At 44.7% G+C, this 16170-nt stretch overlaps 1 protein-coding gene across 3 annotated transcripts in view, besides 2 other annotated features; it reads right to left on the bottom strand.

Moving 5' to 3' along the window:
* The window catches only part of CAPN3 (calpain 3), a 52817-nt gene extending 41837 nt beyond the window's left edge, over nt 1-10980 (bottom strand). For all 3 annotated transcript variants that reach the window (NM_000070.3, NM_024344.2, NM_173087.2), the window contains exon 1: nt 10367-10980. In NM_000070.3, coding sequence (NP_000061.1) covers nt 10367-10675 — 309 coding nt within the window. In that variant the 5' untranslated portion in view covers nt 10676-10980. The remainder of the gene's footprint in view (nt 1-10366) is intronic.
* Nucleotides 6059-7025: an enhancer, noted in NCBI's record as "OCT4-NANOG hESC enhancer chr15:42655654-42656620 (GRCh37/hg19 assembly coordinates)". NCBI's record gives its function as "activates a minimal SCP1, AML or CMV promoter by ChIP-STARR-seq in primed H9 embryonic stem cells {active_cell/tissue: H9 hESC(primed)}" and the evidence as "EXISTENCE:reporter gene assay evidence [ECO:0000049][PMID:30033119]".
* Nucleotides 10072-10572: an enhancer, noted in NCBI's record as "H3K4me1 hESC enhancer chr15:42652107-42652607 (GRCh37/hg19 assembly coordinates)". NCBI's record gives its function as "activates a minimal SCP1, AML or CMV promoter by ChIP-STARR-seq in naive H9 embryonic stem cells {active_cell/tissue: H9 hESC(naive)}" and the evidence as "EXISTENCE:reporter gene assay evidence [ECO:0000049][PMID:30033119]".

Raw genomic sequence — 16170 nt, 5'->3', positions numbered from 1 at the left:
TCCTGGGAGAAGAAACAACTGGGTCGTAGGCACTAGGAGCAGAGAGCTTCCTGCCACAGCCTAGGTTTTTCTGTGATTCAGCCCCCTCCCTCTCTTCTCATGCTGGCATGGAGTAACTTTTTTTTGTGTGCCAACCTAGGATTTCTTCTTTTCAGAACTGAGTAACACAGGTCAAATGACTCCTGGCTGAGAAGATACACAGGAGTCAGTATTAATTTTAGAGGCAGTGGGGCACATGGAAGAGGTCATTAGAGCAAGAGACCGTCTGGTATGGACAGAAAGCTTCCAACTTGAAAGTGCTGATGTGAGACCAGGCGCAGTGACTCACGCCTGTAATCTCAGCACCTTGGGAGGCTGAGGCAGGTGGATCACCTGAGGTCAGGAGTTCGAGACCAGCCTGGCCAACATGGTGAAACCCCATCTCTACTAAAAATACAAAAATTAGCCAAGCGTGGTGCCGGGCACCTGTAATCTCAGCTACTTGGGAGGCTGAGGCAGGAGAATGAATTGAACCCAGGAGATGTATGTTGCAGTAAGCCAAGATCGCGCTATTGCACTCCAGCCTGGGCAACGAGAGTAAAGACTCTGTCTCAAAAAAAAAAAAAAAAAAGAAAGAAAGAAAGAAAGTGCTGATGCGATGGCCAAGTGCTGGGGAAGTTGGTGGCCATCTGTCCTCTCAATCTTATGCCCTTTCTTTCCCTCCCTTTCAGACCAAAGGAACTGGGTTTCTTGAAGAAATGATTCATTCCAGTTGTGGGGCAACAAATGTACAAGATGGGCGTGGCACATTTTGTTGTGGCCAGAAAACAAGAAAGGGATAAAAGATTAATGGAGCAACGTGAAATGATACAGGCAACATACAGGGGCTCCTACTGTCCAAAGATGGAACAATTTGAACATGAAAAAGAAGAATGACTGCAATGGATTAAAACATGCTGCAATACTTCATACTGATCACATTCTTTTTTTTTTCTTCTTTTTGAGATGGTCTTACTGTGTCACTCAGGCTGGAATGCAGTGGCGCAATTTTGGCTCACTGCAGCCCCAACCTCCGTAGCTCAAGTGATCCTCCCACCTCAGCCTCCCAAGTAGCTAGTGACAGAGCAGGAGCATCACCATCTTGGACAAGCACCACCATTTTAAAGTGCCCCTTGATCAAAAACTGCCTAAATCCAACCCAAAGGGCATCAGCCTAATGGCTAATGTCAGTATGACCATAAACCACAAATGACATCTCCAACCAGAAACATTCCAACCGTAAGATAAACTCTCTCCCTGACCAGAGACAAGCCAGCCCCAAGATAACCTCCCCTCCAACCAGAGACATTCCAAACCCACAATGAACTTCTCCTCCACACAGAAACATTCCAAGCCTGTGATAGGCTCTCTCACCCTGAACCCTTAAATACACTTAGTCTGTAAGAGAGAGTACTCCTGACAGAAATCAGCCAGAAGCCCCTCTCAGGTTTATTCTCCAAAATAAACCTGTCTTTATTGAGCCATTTTTCATGTTTCTTTCCTCTTTCTTTTTAACTCTTACAGCTAGGACTATAGGCACAAACCACCATACCTGGCTAATCTTTGTATTTTTGGTAGAGATAGGGTTTCACCATGGTGCCCAAGCTGGTCTTGAACTCCTGGGCTCAAGTGATCCACCCGCCTTGGCCTCCCAAAATGCTGGGACTGCAGGTGTGAGCCACCACGCCCAGCCCACATTCTTAATAGAGCATTGTTTCAAGCTGTAATATTTAAGAATACAGAGAAAATGAAGTATAGTCAATACTCATTATTCTTGGTAGTTATGTTTTATAATAACGCTGAGAACACTGTATTAGTAAATACTGAACCATTGCTCCTAGGGGAACTACAGAGTTAGAGTCCTATGAGTCTCTGGTCACATTTTCATCAACCAATCAATACAGAGCCTTATTTTATGATGTTTCTGCTTAAAGACACCTTATTTAATATTGATTCATTAAATTATTGTTTATTGATTGATGATTCAATAACATTGAACTCACAGCCAACTGACTATAACTTGTGTGTGAACAAAGCTTATCTGACACACGTATTTCCTCCATGAGGCACACCACAGCCTCCTAGAATGCTAGACAGCATTTCAGCACTATGCTTGGAGGTCACCAATAAAAAGCACAGAAATGAGAAAAACATGGCACTAAAGACGTCATGAAAAGGACATTCTTTACAGTATCAAAGCTGAAACAAGAAGGCTGAGTGTTGCCTTGTTTGACCTGAGCTGGGAACAGGCATGTGGGGTGACTCAGATTTTTCACAGCTCTGTGTATGCCCACAAATGACTGCAAAAACACCTCAAGTACTAATTTTGAGGAGACAAACCTTAGCGAGTAGGTGAATTTGCAAATATGGCATCTGCAAATAACAAGGATTGGCTGTGTAAGGTTTATAGCACTGACGTCCTCCATGTTGGAAAAGCCATGCCTATGGCATAAAGTTGGAACACTTTTGTGACTGATCTGAATTAACTAAAAGAGGGATGACATGATTCAAAAACAGGATATGCCTGTAGTCCCAGCTACTCAGAGTCTGAGGCAGGAGGATCACTTAAACCCAGGAGTTCAAGTCCAGTGTGGACAACATAGTGAGACTCCTATCTCTGTTTAAAAAAAAGAGAGAAAAAAATAGGGAGGGTTACCATACAGGGAAAATCAGCTGACTCTATTTCACTGTCTTTTGGGTCACAGCCAGAGAAAATATATTACATTTGCACCTGGAAACATTCTAGTTAGAAATAAGGATGAGTGTTCAGACTGTGAAAGTTACAAGCTGTAGGTTACTCAAGGAGATGGAGCCATCCTTTTCTCTTTAAAACCTTTATATCAGGAAAGAAAGCCATCCATCTGGAAAGGCTGAAAGTAGTTCCCATTTTTGGTCCTATATCTCTGGGGTATTTTAAAAATAGCAGCTTTTATACTATATTTCTGGTGTTCTGGAGTATATAATACACTTCTGAAAGTTCTGATGGTGATTGTTTAAACTTGAAGATTGAATGAAAATGGAAAAGTACGTGTCAGCTCCTCTTCAGCAGAATGCCACCCAGTGTTAGCTGAGGCACCAGGCTTCCTTGTGAATTGTCTTGAACACCACTCCATAGCCTCTGAGAGGGCAGAGCCTCCTCACTCCCACCACAGTTCAGCCGGTTCCTAGCAGCTCCTTTCTGTGTGCTTCTCTCTCCCCACACTCCTGTGCTTTCCACACTCTGAGTGTTGGCTCACCCCTGCTTGTGTAAACCAAAATAGGAACCTCCACCCTCTACCAAGTCACTTGCCTCAGAAGTTTCACAAGCACTCGGAAAGAATTCTGTGAGGGAGGCCGGGTGCAGAGCCTCATGCCTATAATCCCAGCACTTTGGGAGGCTGAGGCGGTGGATCACTGGGGTCAGGAGTTTGAGACCAGCCTAGTCAATATGGTGAAACCCCATCTCTACTAAAAATACAAAAATTAGCCAGGCATGGTGGCGCATGCCTGTAGTCCCAGCAACTAGAGAGGCCAAGGTGGGAGGATTGGTTGAACCTGGGAGGTGGAGGTTGCAGTGAGCTGAGCTGGAGACACTGCACTCCAGCCTGGGCAACAGAGCGAGACCCTGTCTCAAAAAAAAAAAGAAAAAAAAAAAGAAAAAAAAGAATTCTGTGAGGGTCGGGTCGTGGAGAGGAAGAACACCAGGTTAGGGGTCGTCACAAGCCCTGTTGCTTCCTCCACTCCATTTTCCTTTCAGTTCTAGCTCTCCTCCCTCTTGTAAGTAAACGGGCAGGTGTTTTTCTTTCTTTTCTTCCTCGAAAACAATCATACTTAATTCTCCTTCCCCCACCCCAGAGATTATTGTAATTCTGTAATTATAATAATCTTTCTGATTTTTTCTTACAGGTTTTCCTCGAGAAGAGAGAAGATGTTTCTGCCATGTTAAGGGTTCAGAAAGTGAGCACATTTGGCGAAATAAATTTAAAGACTTGACAATAATTCCACAGTAGTAAGAAGATCTACCCTGAAGAATGTCATACTTTTTTTTCTCCTGGTGTAACAGCCCTGGCACAAGGAAGAAGTTGGTTCTGCCTGGATGATGAGGACCTTGGGAAGGGGCAAGAGACCAGGTCATACAGAAAGCAGCAAAAACCAGCCGGTGTGGCTGGGTCCATGTCGATAGACAGCACGGAAGAAAGAAAGAGCCTGGGAAAAGGAATAGGTTGGGGATGGCAGGGTTGTGAGTTAGATGGGAAGGGACTCTTTGTCTTATTTTTCCATTCTGAATGCTTTTCTCCCTCACGTTTTACATTTCACAATTTCCCTCACATTTCTGAATTTCTCTCACATCTCTGAAACTGTGATGCAACTTACATTAGAAAGCTTCCTTCTACTGCACTCAGCTGGGTGATGGTCATGACCTTCCATGGACACCCTCTGATAAGATCAAGAAAGTACTAGTATTGAGAATCTTCTAGACTTGGGAAAATAAGGTTCATGATGAATTATAGCTTGGGAAACTTATCTAAACTCTATTCTTAAAATAAGCCTAATTCAAGAGATTTCTGTGTACCAGAATACAAGGAATAAAGTCATCTATTCAGAGGACTAAGAGGCTGCTGCCGTCTGTCTGGGAAAGAGGTGTCCACAGGTCCAGGTGTTGGTGGAGGGCACTAGCTGGCCCCAGGAGTGAAGAAGAGCAGGGCTAAGGGTGAGGTTGGACTACTGGGCAAAGCACAGATGGATATGGGTATGATAGTAATACCTGGCAGGAAGAAAGGCAAACACCAGAGAAATGTGGCTGAAGTAGAGACCCAGCTCTGAGCTGGGAACGGGTGGGGCCCTGTAATGACAGAGAGGTGGGGACAGGAGTTGAGGGAAAGAGGTGAGGGGAAAAGGTGAGGGGAAAAGACCCATAGCTGGAGCTCCAGCCACCATCAGCAAGTGAGAAGGCACTGGATCTGGAGTTAAGTGGGAAGGTGGCAAGCTCCCCCAACTCCCAACAGCAAATAGAGGAGAGAGCTAAGCAGAAGGTTGCGATGAGAAACTGCAAGGCCCAGCTATCAGCCCAAGGAGCTTGGAGGACAGTGGAGGAAGGGAGAACGGATTTCCTAGGGAAGGAGCTGGAGGTTAAGCTGGAGGTGGCTGTATATCAATGATGCAGTTTTGACTCCGATTCAGGGCTGTGAACTGGAGGCCCAACCAGAAATAACCTCTCCTAGCAGAGCCAAGAAACACTGAGACCATGCTGATGGAGGGAAGTTTAACCTGAAGTCTGGGTTAATCCAGCTGCTAAATACGGTGGGCCCTTCCTTCTCCAAGCTCTAGGTTAGGGTGGGTCTGGAATAACATGGAATTTACAGAAAGGTGACTCCACCTAGCACCAGAGACAGGAGGAGCCCAGGAACCTCATTGTTGTCAGGGTCCACTGCTGGAAGCCCTGGCCAGCTGAGCTGATGGTGCAGGGCAGGGCCCTGTGGAGCAATTCTGGGATCCCATGTTACCAAGGGTGAGGAGAGGACCAGATACCTTTTCATCACAAGGTCCTGCAACTGGCCCTTCACTTCTCATCCCTCCAAAAGAAGCAGGGATCTAGGTTGCCCCTGCTTTGGGAATTGCAGGAGATGAGAGAGAAGAAGCTTAAGAACTCTCCACCTGGCATGACTGAGGCACATGCAGATGGGAAAAACGAAGCCCTTGCTCAGCAAGTTGGTCTCAGTGAGCCTTTAAAGCCAATCACTGGGCAAGGTGCCAAGTTTCCCAGCCAAGTGTGATCCCTCTTTTGTAGTCTCCTTCCTGGCTCTATGATACACTCAGATTTTCACAACCAAATGTACATTTTATATTTGATGTAGATAACTAGAATTGCCCTAAAGGACAAGCAGTCCCCTGCCCATGAGGGGAGCATTCACACACACATCCTCATGCTGAGATGGATGGATGCATTTAGACCAGGCATGAAGTACTCAAACACATTGCTGTAGCTAATATCTTGACTGGTCATAGGCACAAATTAAGCTGGAAAAATGTTTATGATGTTGCCACTTTTAAGAGACTGCATAGCTGCTTGTAGGCAGTAATAAGAGTAGTCTATGTTTACTGAGCACTCAACCATGTGCTGGTCTTAAGCCTTTAGCCTGCATTAACTCATTTAATCCTCAATTAATTAAGAGATGGGTTCTTCAATTATGGTTTTTCTCCATTTTTCACATGGAGAACCTGTGGCAAAATGAGGGTAAGTATGTGACCAAGATTACCTAAGTGTTAGGTAGCAGGCCCAGACTTGAACTTAGGTTATCTGACCTCAGAGCCTGGGCTCTTAGCCACTGTGCCATTCCATCTCCAACTTATAGAGGCTGATGCTTTCAGGGGCAACCCCTGGGGTGTCACTCAATGCCTGTTGTGTCTTGAGGAGGCCCAATAAATGACACCTTACTTCCATGCATGAGTTTTGAGCCAATAAAGGAATACTACAAAAGTGCAGGGCAGGTGGGAGTCCAAAATCCCACATTTATTGTTTAATAAAAATGGATATTGACATCTAAATCTCAGAATTAGATAGATTTGGGGCTCTAGAGCCAGATTGTGTGGGTTTAAATCCCAGCTCCAACCCTCACTAACTGGGAGATCTGGCGCGAGTTATTTAATCCCTCTGAGACTCAGTTCCCTCCTTTGTAAAGTGGGACAATAATGGTACTTCCTCACAGGATTGTTGTGAAGATTAAATGAATTAACATATGGAAAGCATTTAGTTACTGGCATGTGGTGAGTTCTCACTCAAGATTAGCGATTATCTTTACTGTTAACCACACATTACCAGGTGGCCCAGGGACTCCTGCATGACTCCCCATGGGGACTTGCCTCCAGAAAACTTACTGCAAGGAGGGCAGAGAGCAGAAGCCATGCTTCTTGCAGGCAGCTTGCTTCCCAGAGAAAGACAGAAGCCAAGAACTGGGCTTTACAGGTCAAGTTCTCTTTACAAACCCACCATGGGAAGGAGACAGGCCAGGAGTGTGGTGCAATTGAACCTTCCACCCCATGGAATGAAACACGACCTGCCCTCCCATCCCCAACCTATCCCTAGTATATTGGGCACCAGCATCCCAGAAGCCCTGTTCTAGAACCCATTCTATTCTGCCCTGGGATCTGTCATCAAGAAAACTTGCCTTAACAGTTGAGAAGTGTTGAATAATTTGTTTGCTTTCTGATCCTAGAAATAGATCATATAAGGAAAGTCTAGAGGAACCAGATTGTTTGCCCTGGAAACTCAATGCATGATGTTCCCGAGTAGAGGAAGAAAGTCTGTGAGGTAGCACTGGTGAGTAAGAGAAGAGATTACAGGTGAGCTGGGAACAGTCGGCCAGAGCCTGTTTTCTTTTAAGAGGGAAAGGCTGAAAGTGCAGCATGCTATTTTAACTAGAATTATAGTTGGCCAGGAATAATTCTCCCTTTATCATTATTATCATTATCACTGTAATTATAATAAATAATACTTGATGGTCGAAAAAAAATTCAGATTGGTTTCCAAAGGTTCTGTGCCTTAGACAGTAAAAGCAGGAAGGCCTTTACTCACCTGTGTGGTGCTTCTCCTGATAGGACACAGTCTTTTCAGACTGCATAGGGCTGGCAAAGGTCACTACATCTGAAGAAGTTTATGGAGAACTGATGTCTCCAAGAAGTGCTTTACAGTCAGAAAGTTCTGGAGTCATTTCAGTTTTTCAGTTCCAAGTCAACTTGTGTGGCTGTAGATAAGTCATTTGCCCTTTCTGGGCCTTAATCACCTATAAAGCAAGGACACTGGAGCACCTCTCCAAGAATCATTCCAACTCTGACCATCTCTAATTTTATATTTCTCATTTATGCTAGTGAACCCAATGGGCAGTGTTCCTGTGATCTTAACCCCAGGGGAACATGTGGGCATTTTATCCAAGAGTGGCCTTTGTTATCTGGTCCTTTAGTGACTCAAACAGTGGAAAATCCAGGATCTTTGTTGTTGGTGATGGTGGTGGTGGGGGCACAATTTAGAACAGACAAGTCTTCTGCACCCCTCATTTCAAACATGGACACTGCCCAATCTAGTACCTAGAGCATAACAGGCCCTTAAAGAATTTTTATTAATTTGTAAGTCTCGCTTGAAGACTCAAGTCCACCAATGATTTCACTGAAAACAGTATTTGTAGGTTTTAATTTTCCCCATTCTGAGAAAGAGCTTTTATTTTTTTAAACTTTTTTTATAGAGATAGGGTCTCACTATGTTGCCCAGGCTGGTCTCCAACTCCTGAGCTCAATTGATGCTCCCACCTCTGCCTCCCAAAGTGCTAGGATTACAGGCATGAGCCTCCATGTCTGGCCCAAGAAAGGGCTTTTAGGAACTCCCTGCCTGGGAACGCAGGCCTATCCTGTCTCACTGGTCAAGGCCCTTGGGCGTGGGTTTTCACTCACCAGCATCAGCTGAGTACCCACTATGGGACTGGCCTGAGCTTGGTGAGGGGGCCTCAAAGATGAACAGGAAGGATTTCTGCTCTCAGTGAGAGGAAATCAGTCATGAGAAAGATTGAAGGAAGTGACACCTGAGCAGAGGTTCAGATAGGAACAAAAAAGGCATGTCAGGCAGACAGACAGCATGAGCAAAGGCCTCCGGTGTGAGAAGACTTGGAACTACAGAGCAGCTAAATGTCCAAGCACTGCTGGTGTGTCAGGATCTGGGGAAAGAGGATGGACATGGGCCTGGACAGGTAGGCAGGGACCAGCTGAGAAGGGCCTATGGCTTGGCTAAGGAGTTTGGACTTGTCCTGAAGGCAGTGGGGGCCGAGAGAGGGATGTCACTGAAGATATTTCAGCAGGGGGTTGTGACATGTCCAACTACTCTGATAGCAGAGTAGTGTTATCTTCTAAACTGAAGGCCTTCAGGACAGTTATGGGCCTTACCATAGAACCAAGAAGAGCCCCTATGGAATATACAGGGTTGTCTAGTACTCCACCTCAGGTTTGTTGTTGTTATTGTTGTTGTTTGAGACTGGGTCTCACTCCTGTCACCCAGCCTGGAGTGCAGTGGCATGATCTCGGCTCACTGCTGCCTCAACTCCCCGAGTTCAAGTGATCTTCCCACCTCAGCCTCTGAGTAGCTAGGACCACAGGCATGTGCCACCATGCCTGGATAATTTTTTGAATTTTTAGTACAAAAGAGATAGGTTTTCACCCTGTTGCCCAGGCTGGTCTCTAACTCTTGGGCTCAAGCAATCCTCCAGCCTGGGCCTTCCAAAATGCTGGGTTTATAGGCATGAGCCACCATGCCTGGCCCACCTTAGGTTAAAGAAAACCATGGCTAATCAATAGTATTGGGTCTCAGCTTGTCATCATTTCCTCAGAGAGGGTTTGTCTCCCTGGACCAGGTTAGCTCTCCTTGCCACATGATCCTGTGGCACCCAGAACATCGTCTCCTGACAATGTCACTCTTGTTCAATGCCCATCTTCCCTTCAGGACCCTAGGTTCCAAGACAGCTGGAATTTTGGTCTTTCTTACTCACTGCTGTCCCCCCAGTTGCTTGCCCAGTGCTGGCACTAGTAGATGCTCAATAAATATTTCTCGAATTAAGAACAAGAGTCACACTGGAGGGATGATCAGAGAGGTGAGCCAGGGGAATGTGATTTCCCTCCTGGCGATCACTGTAAATGAAACCCAGAGGCTGGGAGAGTTTCCTAAAACAGAAAGTTTTAATCCGGGCTCTGTCATGTGCCCACTAGATATATTTCACTCTAGTGTGCCTTGACTCCTCACTTATGAGGTGAGGTAGGTGGACAAAAGCGATTGCTAGGTCTCTCTCTCTTTAACCCCAACATTTTATGCATGAAAAAATATTCCTTGCCTATGACTCTTCTCTTTCTAGGGTTTCTGTGTTTCAGAAAGATATGGCCATTGGTAAATTAAAGAAGAATAACATCATGATTTTAGCCAGAGAAACTGAAATAATCTTACAAAGATGAATAATATTTAAAACGAACAGGTACATCTGGGCTGTCTGGAATTTGTTCTGAGAAAGGAATATTTATTTTTACAGGATGAATTAAACTGAGTTCCACCCACTTTTATAAAAAGCAAGATTTTTTTTTTTTTTTCAGAGAGAAAGAGCCAGAGCATAAGAATCAGCCCCACCTCCTGCGCTCTCCCTCTGGATTTTGCTGAGATTTGGTGAAATATCTGAGACCTGTTCCTCTCCTCCCTGCTTCACACTTAAAGACAGAGCCCAGCAGAGCTGCTGCCAGGATCCTTCCCCCAGTGCCCATGTGCACAGCTGAGCTGCCGGAGGTGCTGAGTGAGAGGACTCCTCCGTGGGGGGAAAACCCAGCCAGCAAGCAGGAAGCTACTCACCGGAGGTCTCTTCCAGACGAACTGGATGGGGAACTTCTGGCTATAAAAGAGAGAGGTCTCATCCGGTGGGAACTCAGGGTCCACATAAAGAACTTTCTTTTCTAGACATTTCTTGTGAAGTTGCTCGAATGTCTTCTCTTTCACTCCGATAATAGGAAAATTGCGGCTGATGATGGCTGAATAGATGCCACTTGGGTTTCCACCCCCAGCCTCAGTGGCCTTGCTCTGGGCCGGGTGAGGAACTGGCCCTGGGGACCGGGGCTCAGCCGCTGTCCTTGGAGCCACAGATGCGCTAATGACGGTCGGCATGGCAAGTGGCTTTGGAAGAAAAAGCTTTTTAAAGAAAATAAGATACAGCTACCTTCAAGGAAAGGAAGCAACTGCAAAGGGGAAGTTGGAGTAATTCTGTCATCTGAGAGAAAAGTGTCCACATCCAGTTCAAAGTTGAAAGCCCATCAGAAGGTCGTACAGGTTATGTCCATCTTAAAAACCGAGCTGTGATTCTGAAGCCATAAGTTCTCCTGAGAAATGAGTGCTAAAGGATTTCTGAAGCAATGTTGACTTGGGGGTCTCCTACCAGCAGCATGCATGCCAGAGGGAGAGAGAAAGAGAGTGAGGGTTGTGTTTCAGTGGCCTGAAGATGCTTGAGCCAGGAAAACTAAAAATAGATGTGAAGAAACACTGTGAGTATGAGAGCAAGAGAGACTGCATGGTAGAGAGAGAACCTGGCTAGGGACATTTCTGTTGCCATGAAGTGCTGGTGTTGCCAGAAAATGAAAAGGGAGTATCTGAGTAAGGTGAACACTGGAAAGAAGCTGAGAACTGCTGACATGTTATTGAGTAGGCAGTTATACAGACCACCCAACTACTGGCCATCAAATGAATGGAAAACAATATTGCAAAAAAGCTAGTTAGGGTGAACGGGAGGTACTGAATTCTACAAAAATATTCTGTGAATTTTAGAGAACATGATTTTTAGTCCTAAAATTTTAGGATATCAGAACATTATTCAATGTTAGATTTGGTATCTTTTTTAGAATGTTCTTGGGTCAGCGCTCATTGGAAATGTCTGCATGGAAAATGCTACTCAGCAGAGTCCTCATTTGAGAAAATCCCTGTCTCTACCTGCACACTTGACCTTGCCACCTCTTGTCTCTCCCCATCCACAAAATGAACACTGGGACTGAATCTGCTAAAAAGTGGTCCTGCTGGGCCATGTGGCTCACGTCTCTAATCTCTGCACTTTGGGAGGCCGAGGCGGGTGGATCACATGAGGTCAGGAGTTCGAGACCAGCATGGCCAACAATAGTGAAACCCTGTCTCTACTAAAAATACAAAAATAAGCCGGGTGTGGCGGCGGGTGCCTGTAATCCCAGCTACTTGGGAGGCTGAGACAGAAGAATTGCTTGAACCCAGGAGGCAGAGGTTGTAGTGAACCCAGATCACGCCACTGCACTCCAGCCCAGGTGACAGAAAGAGACTCCGTCTTAAAAAAAAAAAAAAGTGCACCTGAGCAGAGAAAATCCTCACTTAACATCATCGATAGGTTCTCGTAAGCTGTGACTTTAAGCAAAATGATGTACTGTATAGTGAAACCAGGCTAACTGATATAAACAAGAGTTAAGTCCCTACAGCACACGGTATGTTTTCGTTAAAGTCACAGTTTACAAGCACCTATCAATGATGTTAAGTGAGGACTTACTGTACAGGTTATATGTTGACTCATTCAGCCATGCCACATTAGGCATCTGAGACAGAAGTTGGAATTAGATACTGAACCAGACTGTCTGTCAACTCCTGGGATGTCACACCTGGTTTCAGGGCTCTTAGATGAGAGCATAAGTGGCTCTGGGGAAGGGAAGTGCCTGCCTGGCCTCCACCTTGTCTTCTACCCACAATAGCTGCTCCCTGGGCTGTAAGGAGATGAGCACATTTCAAGTATGGCAGAGTGGAGGCATGTCCTAGGCTGCAGTCATGCCTGTTCCCATGCGACCAGTCTCAATAATCCAAGATTAGAGGCTATGGAAGAAGGTGGGAAGTGACAGGTAAAATAGGGAGTACTATCAGCCTCCTGATCCCTGGGATTGCGGCTTTGAAGGACTCTATGTCTGGGCTTGCAGGAACCATCAGCCTAGCCATCTGTCCCTCCAAGAAAATGCCCAGGGCTTTTTACTAGTCTTGGAGAGGCAGAATAGAGGACAGTGGTCTCTGGTGACTGACCACCTCGGTTCAAAGTCTAGGTTGGCCCCTTATTGGCTGTGCCTGTGTAACTTTAGGTGAGTTATTTCTTCCTTTCTGTCTCAGATTTCTCACCTATAAAATAGGTACAATTACAGTCATTCTGTTATTAGGTTTTGGTAACAATTAAATAATTTATGTAATACATTTTACACAGTGCCAGGATTTTCTTAAGCACTCAATAAATGGTGTTGTTAGAGAAGACCTGAATTTAATATTACTTTGGAGTTAGATCAGGTCGAATGCTACATTTACTCGCTGACGCAAATCAGCATCCACTCAATGGGCATTAACTGAATATCTGCTATGTGGACAGCACAGGAATAGGTATAATCTGCCCAGGCTCATGTGGTATGCAGCATCTCCAATCAGAAGCTGGCCTATCTGCCTGCAACAAAAAGACTGACTTCCACCCTCAAAGTCACCAGTGGCATAGACAGCAAAGGTGGGGTTTCTTTCCCCCACTGTCATAAGTTTGGGTCCCAGCCTAGCATTCTATCCCACCCTGAAATTCAGAGCACTGACCCACACTGTATTGTTTTTGCTTATTTAACTTCCCGTTTGCCCATAAGACCGTGGAGCTGGGAAGTGGGTTCCCATTTCCCTCTCAGGTTTAGAAGGCCCTTAATAAATGCGTGTTATATATCTGGTGAATGAAATTTTCCTATGCAAAGAGAAATTTCTTACACTTCTGGCTTTGCCAGTGCAATCAAAGTTTCTCTGCTGATCTGCTCCAGGCGAAGGAGCTGTCTTGGGCCGCATACCCACTGAGCTTTCTTTCCTCAGCTGTCTCAGCCAGCACCATCTGTGAGTAACTAACAGAAGTGTGTGACACCAGCGAGCCTCTTGTCAGAGCAGGGTGGGCATATCAAACACAGAAAGGGCAAGGTGCCATTCATTTTGCTCTGTCAGTTGTTGTGGATAAAACATTCTCTCAGATGAACAGGTCCAAACTCAAGGTTTATTCAATGGCACAGCTGTGGAAACCAATGCTATCAGGGAGAAGTCCAACTCGAGCCCATGAACAAAGGGCAGATAATGAACACATAAACAACTGCACATTTCAATTCCCAGAAGCCCCTTCAAGGATAAAGAACTAGTTTTTATAACATATTTCACCCACGGTCATGTAATATCTGTGGCTGGAATGGTTTCTGCTGCACAGCATTGCCAACTAATGGCTCTGTCTTTTCCACCAAGAAGCATTTCTTTGATTACTAACACTATTGGAAGCAATGTCTTTGCTTATCATTATAATACCTCTCATTCATTAAGTGCCTACTGGGAGCTAGCCACTTCACAGAGACCTTTAAAAAACTTTTTATTTTAAAATAATTTTAGACTTACAAAAGACTTGCAAAGACTTACAAAAGAGTTGCAAAGATAGTGTCCTCCAGTCTCTGATCATTCCACAGTCTTTGTCTCTCATGACCGTGACACTTTTGAAGAGTACTTGTCAGGTTTTTGTAGAATGACCCTAAATTTGGGTTTCTCTGATATTTTTCACATGATTAGACTGAGGTTATGGATTTAGGGGAAGACTGTCACAGATGTGACATGGCTACCTCCTCAAACCATATTTGGGGGCACATGATATTGATAGGTTTTATTACAGGTGATGTCAACTTTGATCACTTGCCTAAAGTGATGTTTACTGGGTTTCTCCCTGGTAATGTTACTATTTTTCCCTTTCTGTACACATAAGATATTTTAAATTTGTAGAAAAACTCTGCAAGTTTCACTAAGTCCATTTTACAACTGAGGAAACTTGAGATATCTGCTGTATTTTGACAGTTAAGTATCAGAAAACTCACAAAATTTTAGAGATTATCTCTCTTTTTTTTTTTTTAGATGGAGTCTCTCTCTGTCACCAGGCTGGAGTGCACTGGTGCAATCTTAGCTCACTGCAACTTCCGCCTCCCGGGTTCAAGCGATTCTCCTGCCTCAGTCTCCTGAACAGCTGAGATTACAGGCATGTGCCACCATGCCCTGCTAATTTTTGTTATTTTTAGTAGAGATGGGGCTTCACCATGTTGGCCAGGTTGGTCTCGAACTCCTGAACTCAAGTGAACCCCCTGCCTCGGCCTCCCAAAGTGCTGGGATTACAGGCGTAAGCCACTGCACCCAGGCTAGAGATTATCTCTTTTCTTTAACAAAGCCCAGAGAGGTCAAATGCCATGGCCAAGATCACTCAGCCAGTTCACTGTAGAAGCAAACTAGACTCCAGGTCTCTTGATTTCCTTGGAAGTAAATGCTTGACTAAGATTTAATTGATGTGAATTAGGTATAAGATCTCTGTATCCTTGCATGTAAATAGTCAGGCTCCCCTTTCCCTGGCTCTGATTGGACAGCAATCTAATACCGTCGGCCTGGGTGGAAACAACTGTCAAGAAGCAGCTGTTGCACTTTGGGAGGCAGAGGCAGGTGGATTACATGAGGTCAGGAGTTCGAGGTCAGCCTGGCCAACATGGTGAAAACCTTTCTCTACTAAAAATACAAAAATTAGCTGGGCCTGGTGGAGCATGCCTGTAATCTCGGTTACTCAGGATGCTGAGGCAGAAGAATCGCTTGAACCCGGAAAGCAGAGGTTGCAGTTAGCCGAGATCGTGCCATTGCACTCCATCCTGGGTGACAGAGCAAGATTCTGTCTCAATAAAAAAAAAAAAAAAAAAAAAAAAAGCAGCAGCAGCTGTCTAATTCTGGCAAGTCTTCGTGTGGCACTATAGCCTTTAGCAAGGCTTGTCATGAGACAAGCAGATCTGATATAAGATGCCAATGTCTCTGCTATTTCTCCTAGAATGCTAGCTATATGGCCTCCATTGTCAGTGGCTAATATGATAGCCTGTTTCCAGTGGAGCTGCTGATGGCTTTCTACCCACTGGCCTGAGAAGTTATTTTAGTCTAGAGTAGCCCTTCGAGGGTTTGGTAGGTGGAAATCCTAGGAATCTCATTACTAAGGCTTTCAGGCAGAGTGGTTAATTAGCTAAAAACTATTCAACTCCCAGTGTTTATGTGCTTTGACTGTGTTTCTGCTGCTTATCATTTTGATGCCTTGATAGTGAAAAGGATGTGACAAAGTGAAGGAATTCTGCACACAGACCAAACTCCAGAATTGTATTTTTCTTAAAACCAAGAAAATTCTTCTATATGATCCTAATACAATGCTCAAAAGTAAAAAAATTACCATGTAATCAAAAGATCCCATTCCAATGTTGCCAACTGTTCCAACAGAGGAGGTAAGGCCAGGCACAGTGGCTCATGCCTATAGCCCCAGCCCTTTGGGAGGTCAAGGCAGGAGGATTGTTTGAGTCCGGGAGTTCAAGACTAGCCTGGGCAACATAGTGAGACCCCCACATATTTTTATTAAAATTAAAATATTTTTTATATTGTTGCCAGATTGCCACTCTGAAAGATTATACTTACATTTTTCTGTTGGGTAGTTTGTGTTTTTAAACTGATTTGCCAACTCATTCCTTGACATTTACATCTTGAAGGAAAGACACACTATGCATTCATTTTAGAGCTTTTTTAGGAACCCTGTTGAAATGAATAAAATTTCTTATATA

The sequence above is a fragment of the Homo sapiens genome, chromosome 15 (genome assembly GCF_000001405.40).
Source record: "Homo sapiens chromosome 15, GRCh38.p14 Primary Assembly".
NCBI lineage: Eukaryota > Metazoa > Chordata > Mammalia > Primates > Hominidae > Homo > Homo sapiens.
The sequence above is the reverse complement of the archived record's forward strand: the minus strand, read 5'-3'. Positions and strand labels throughout refer to the sequence as shown.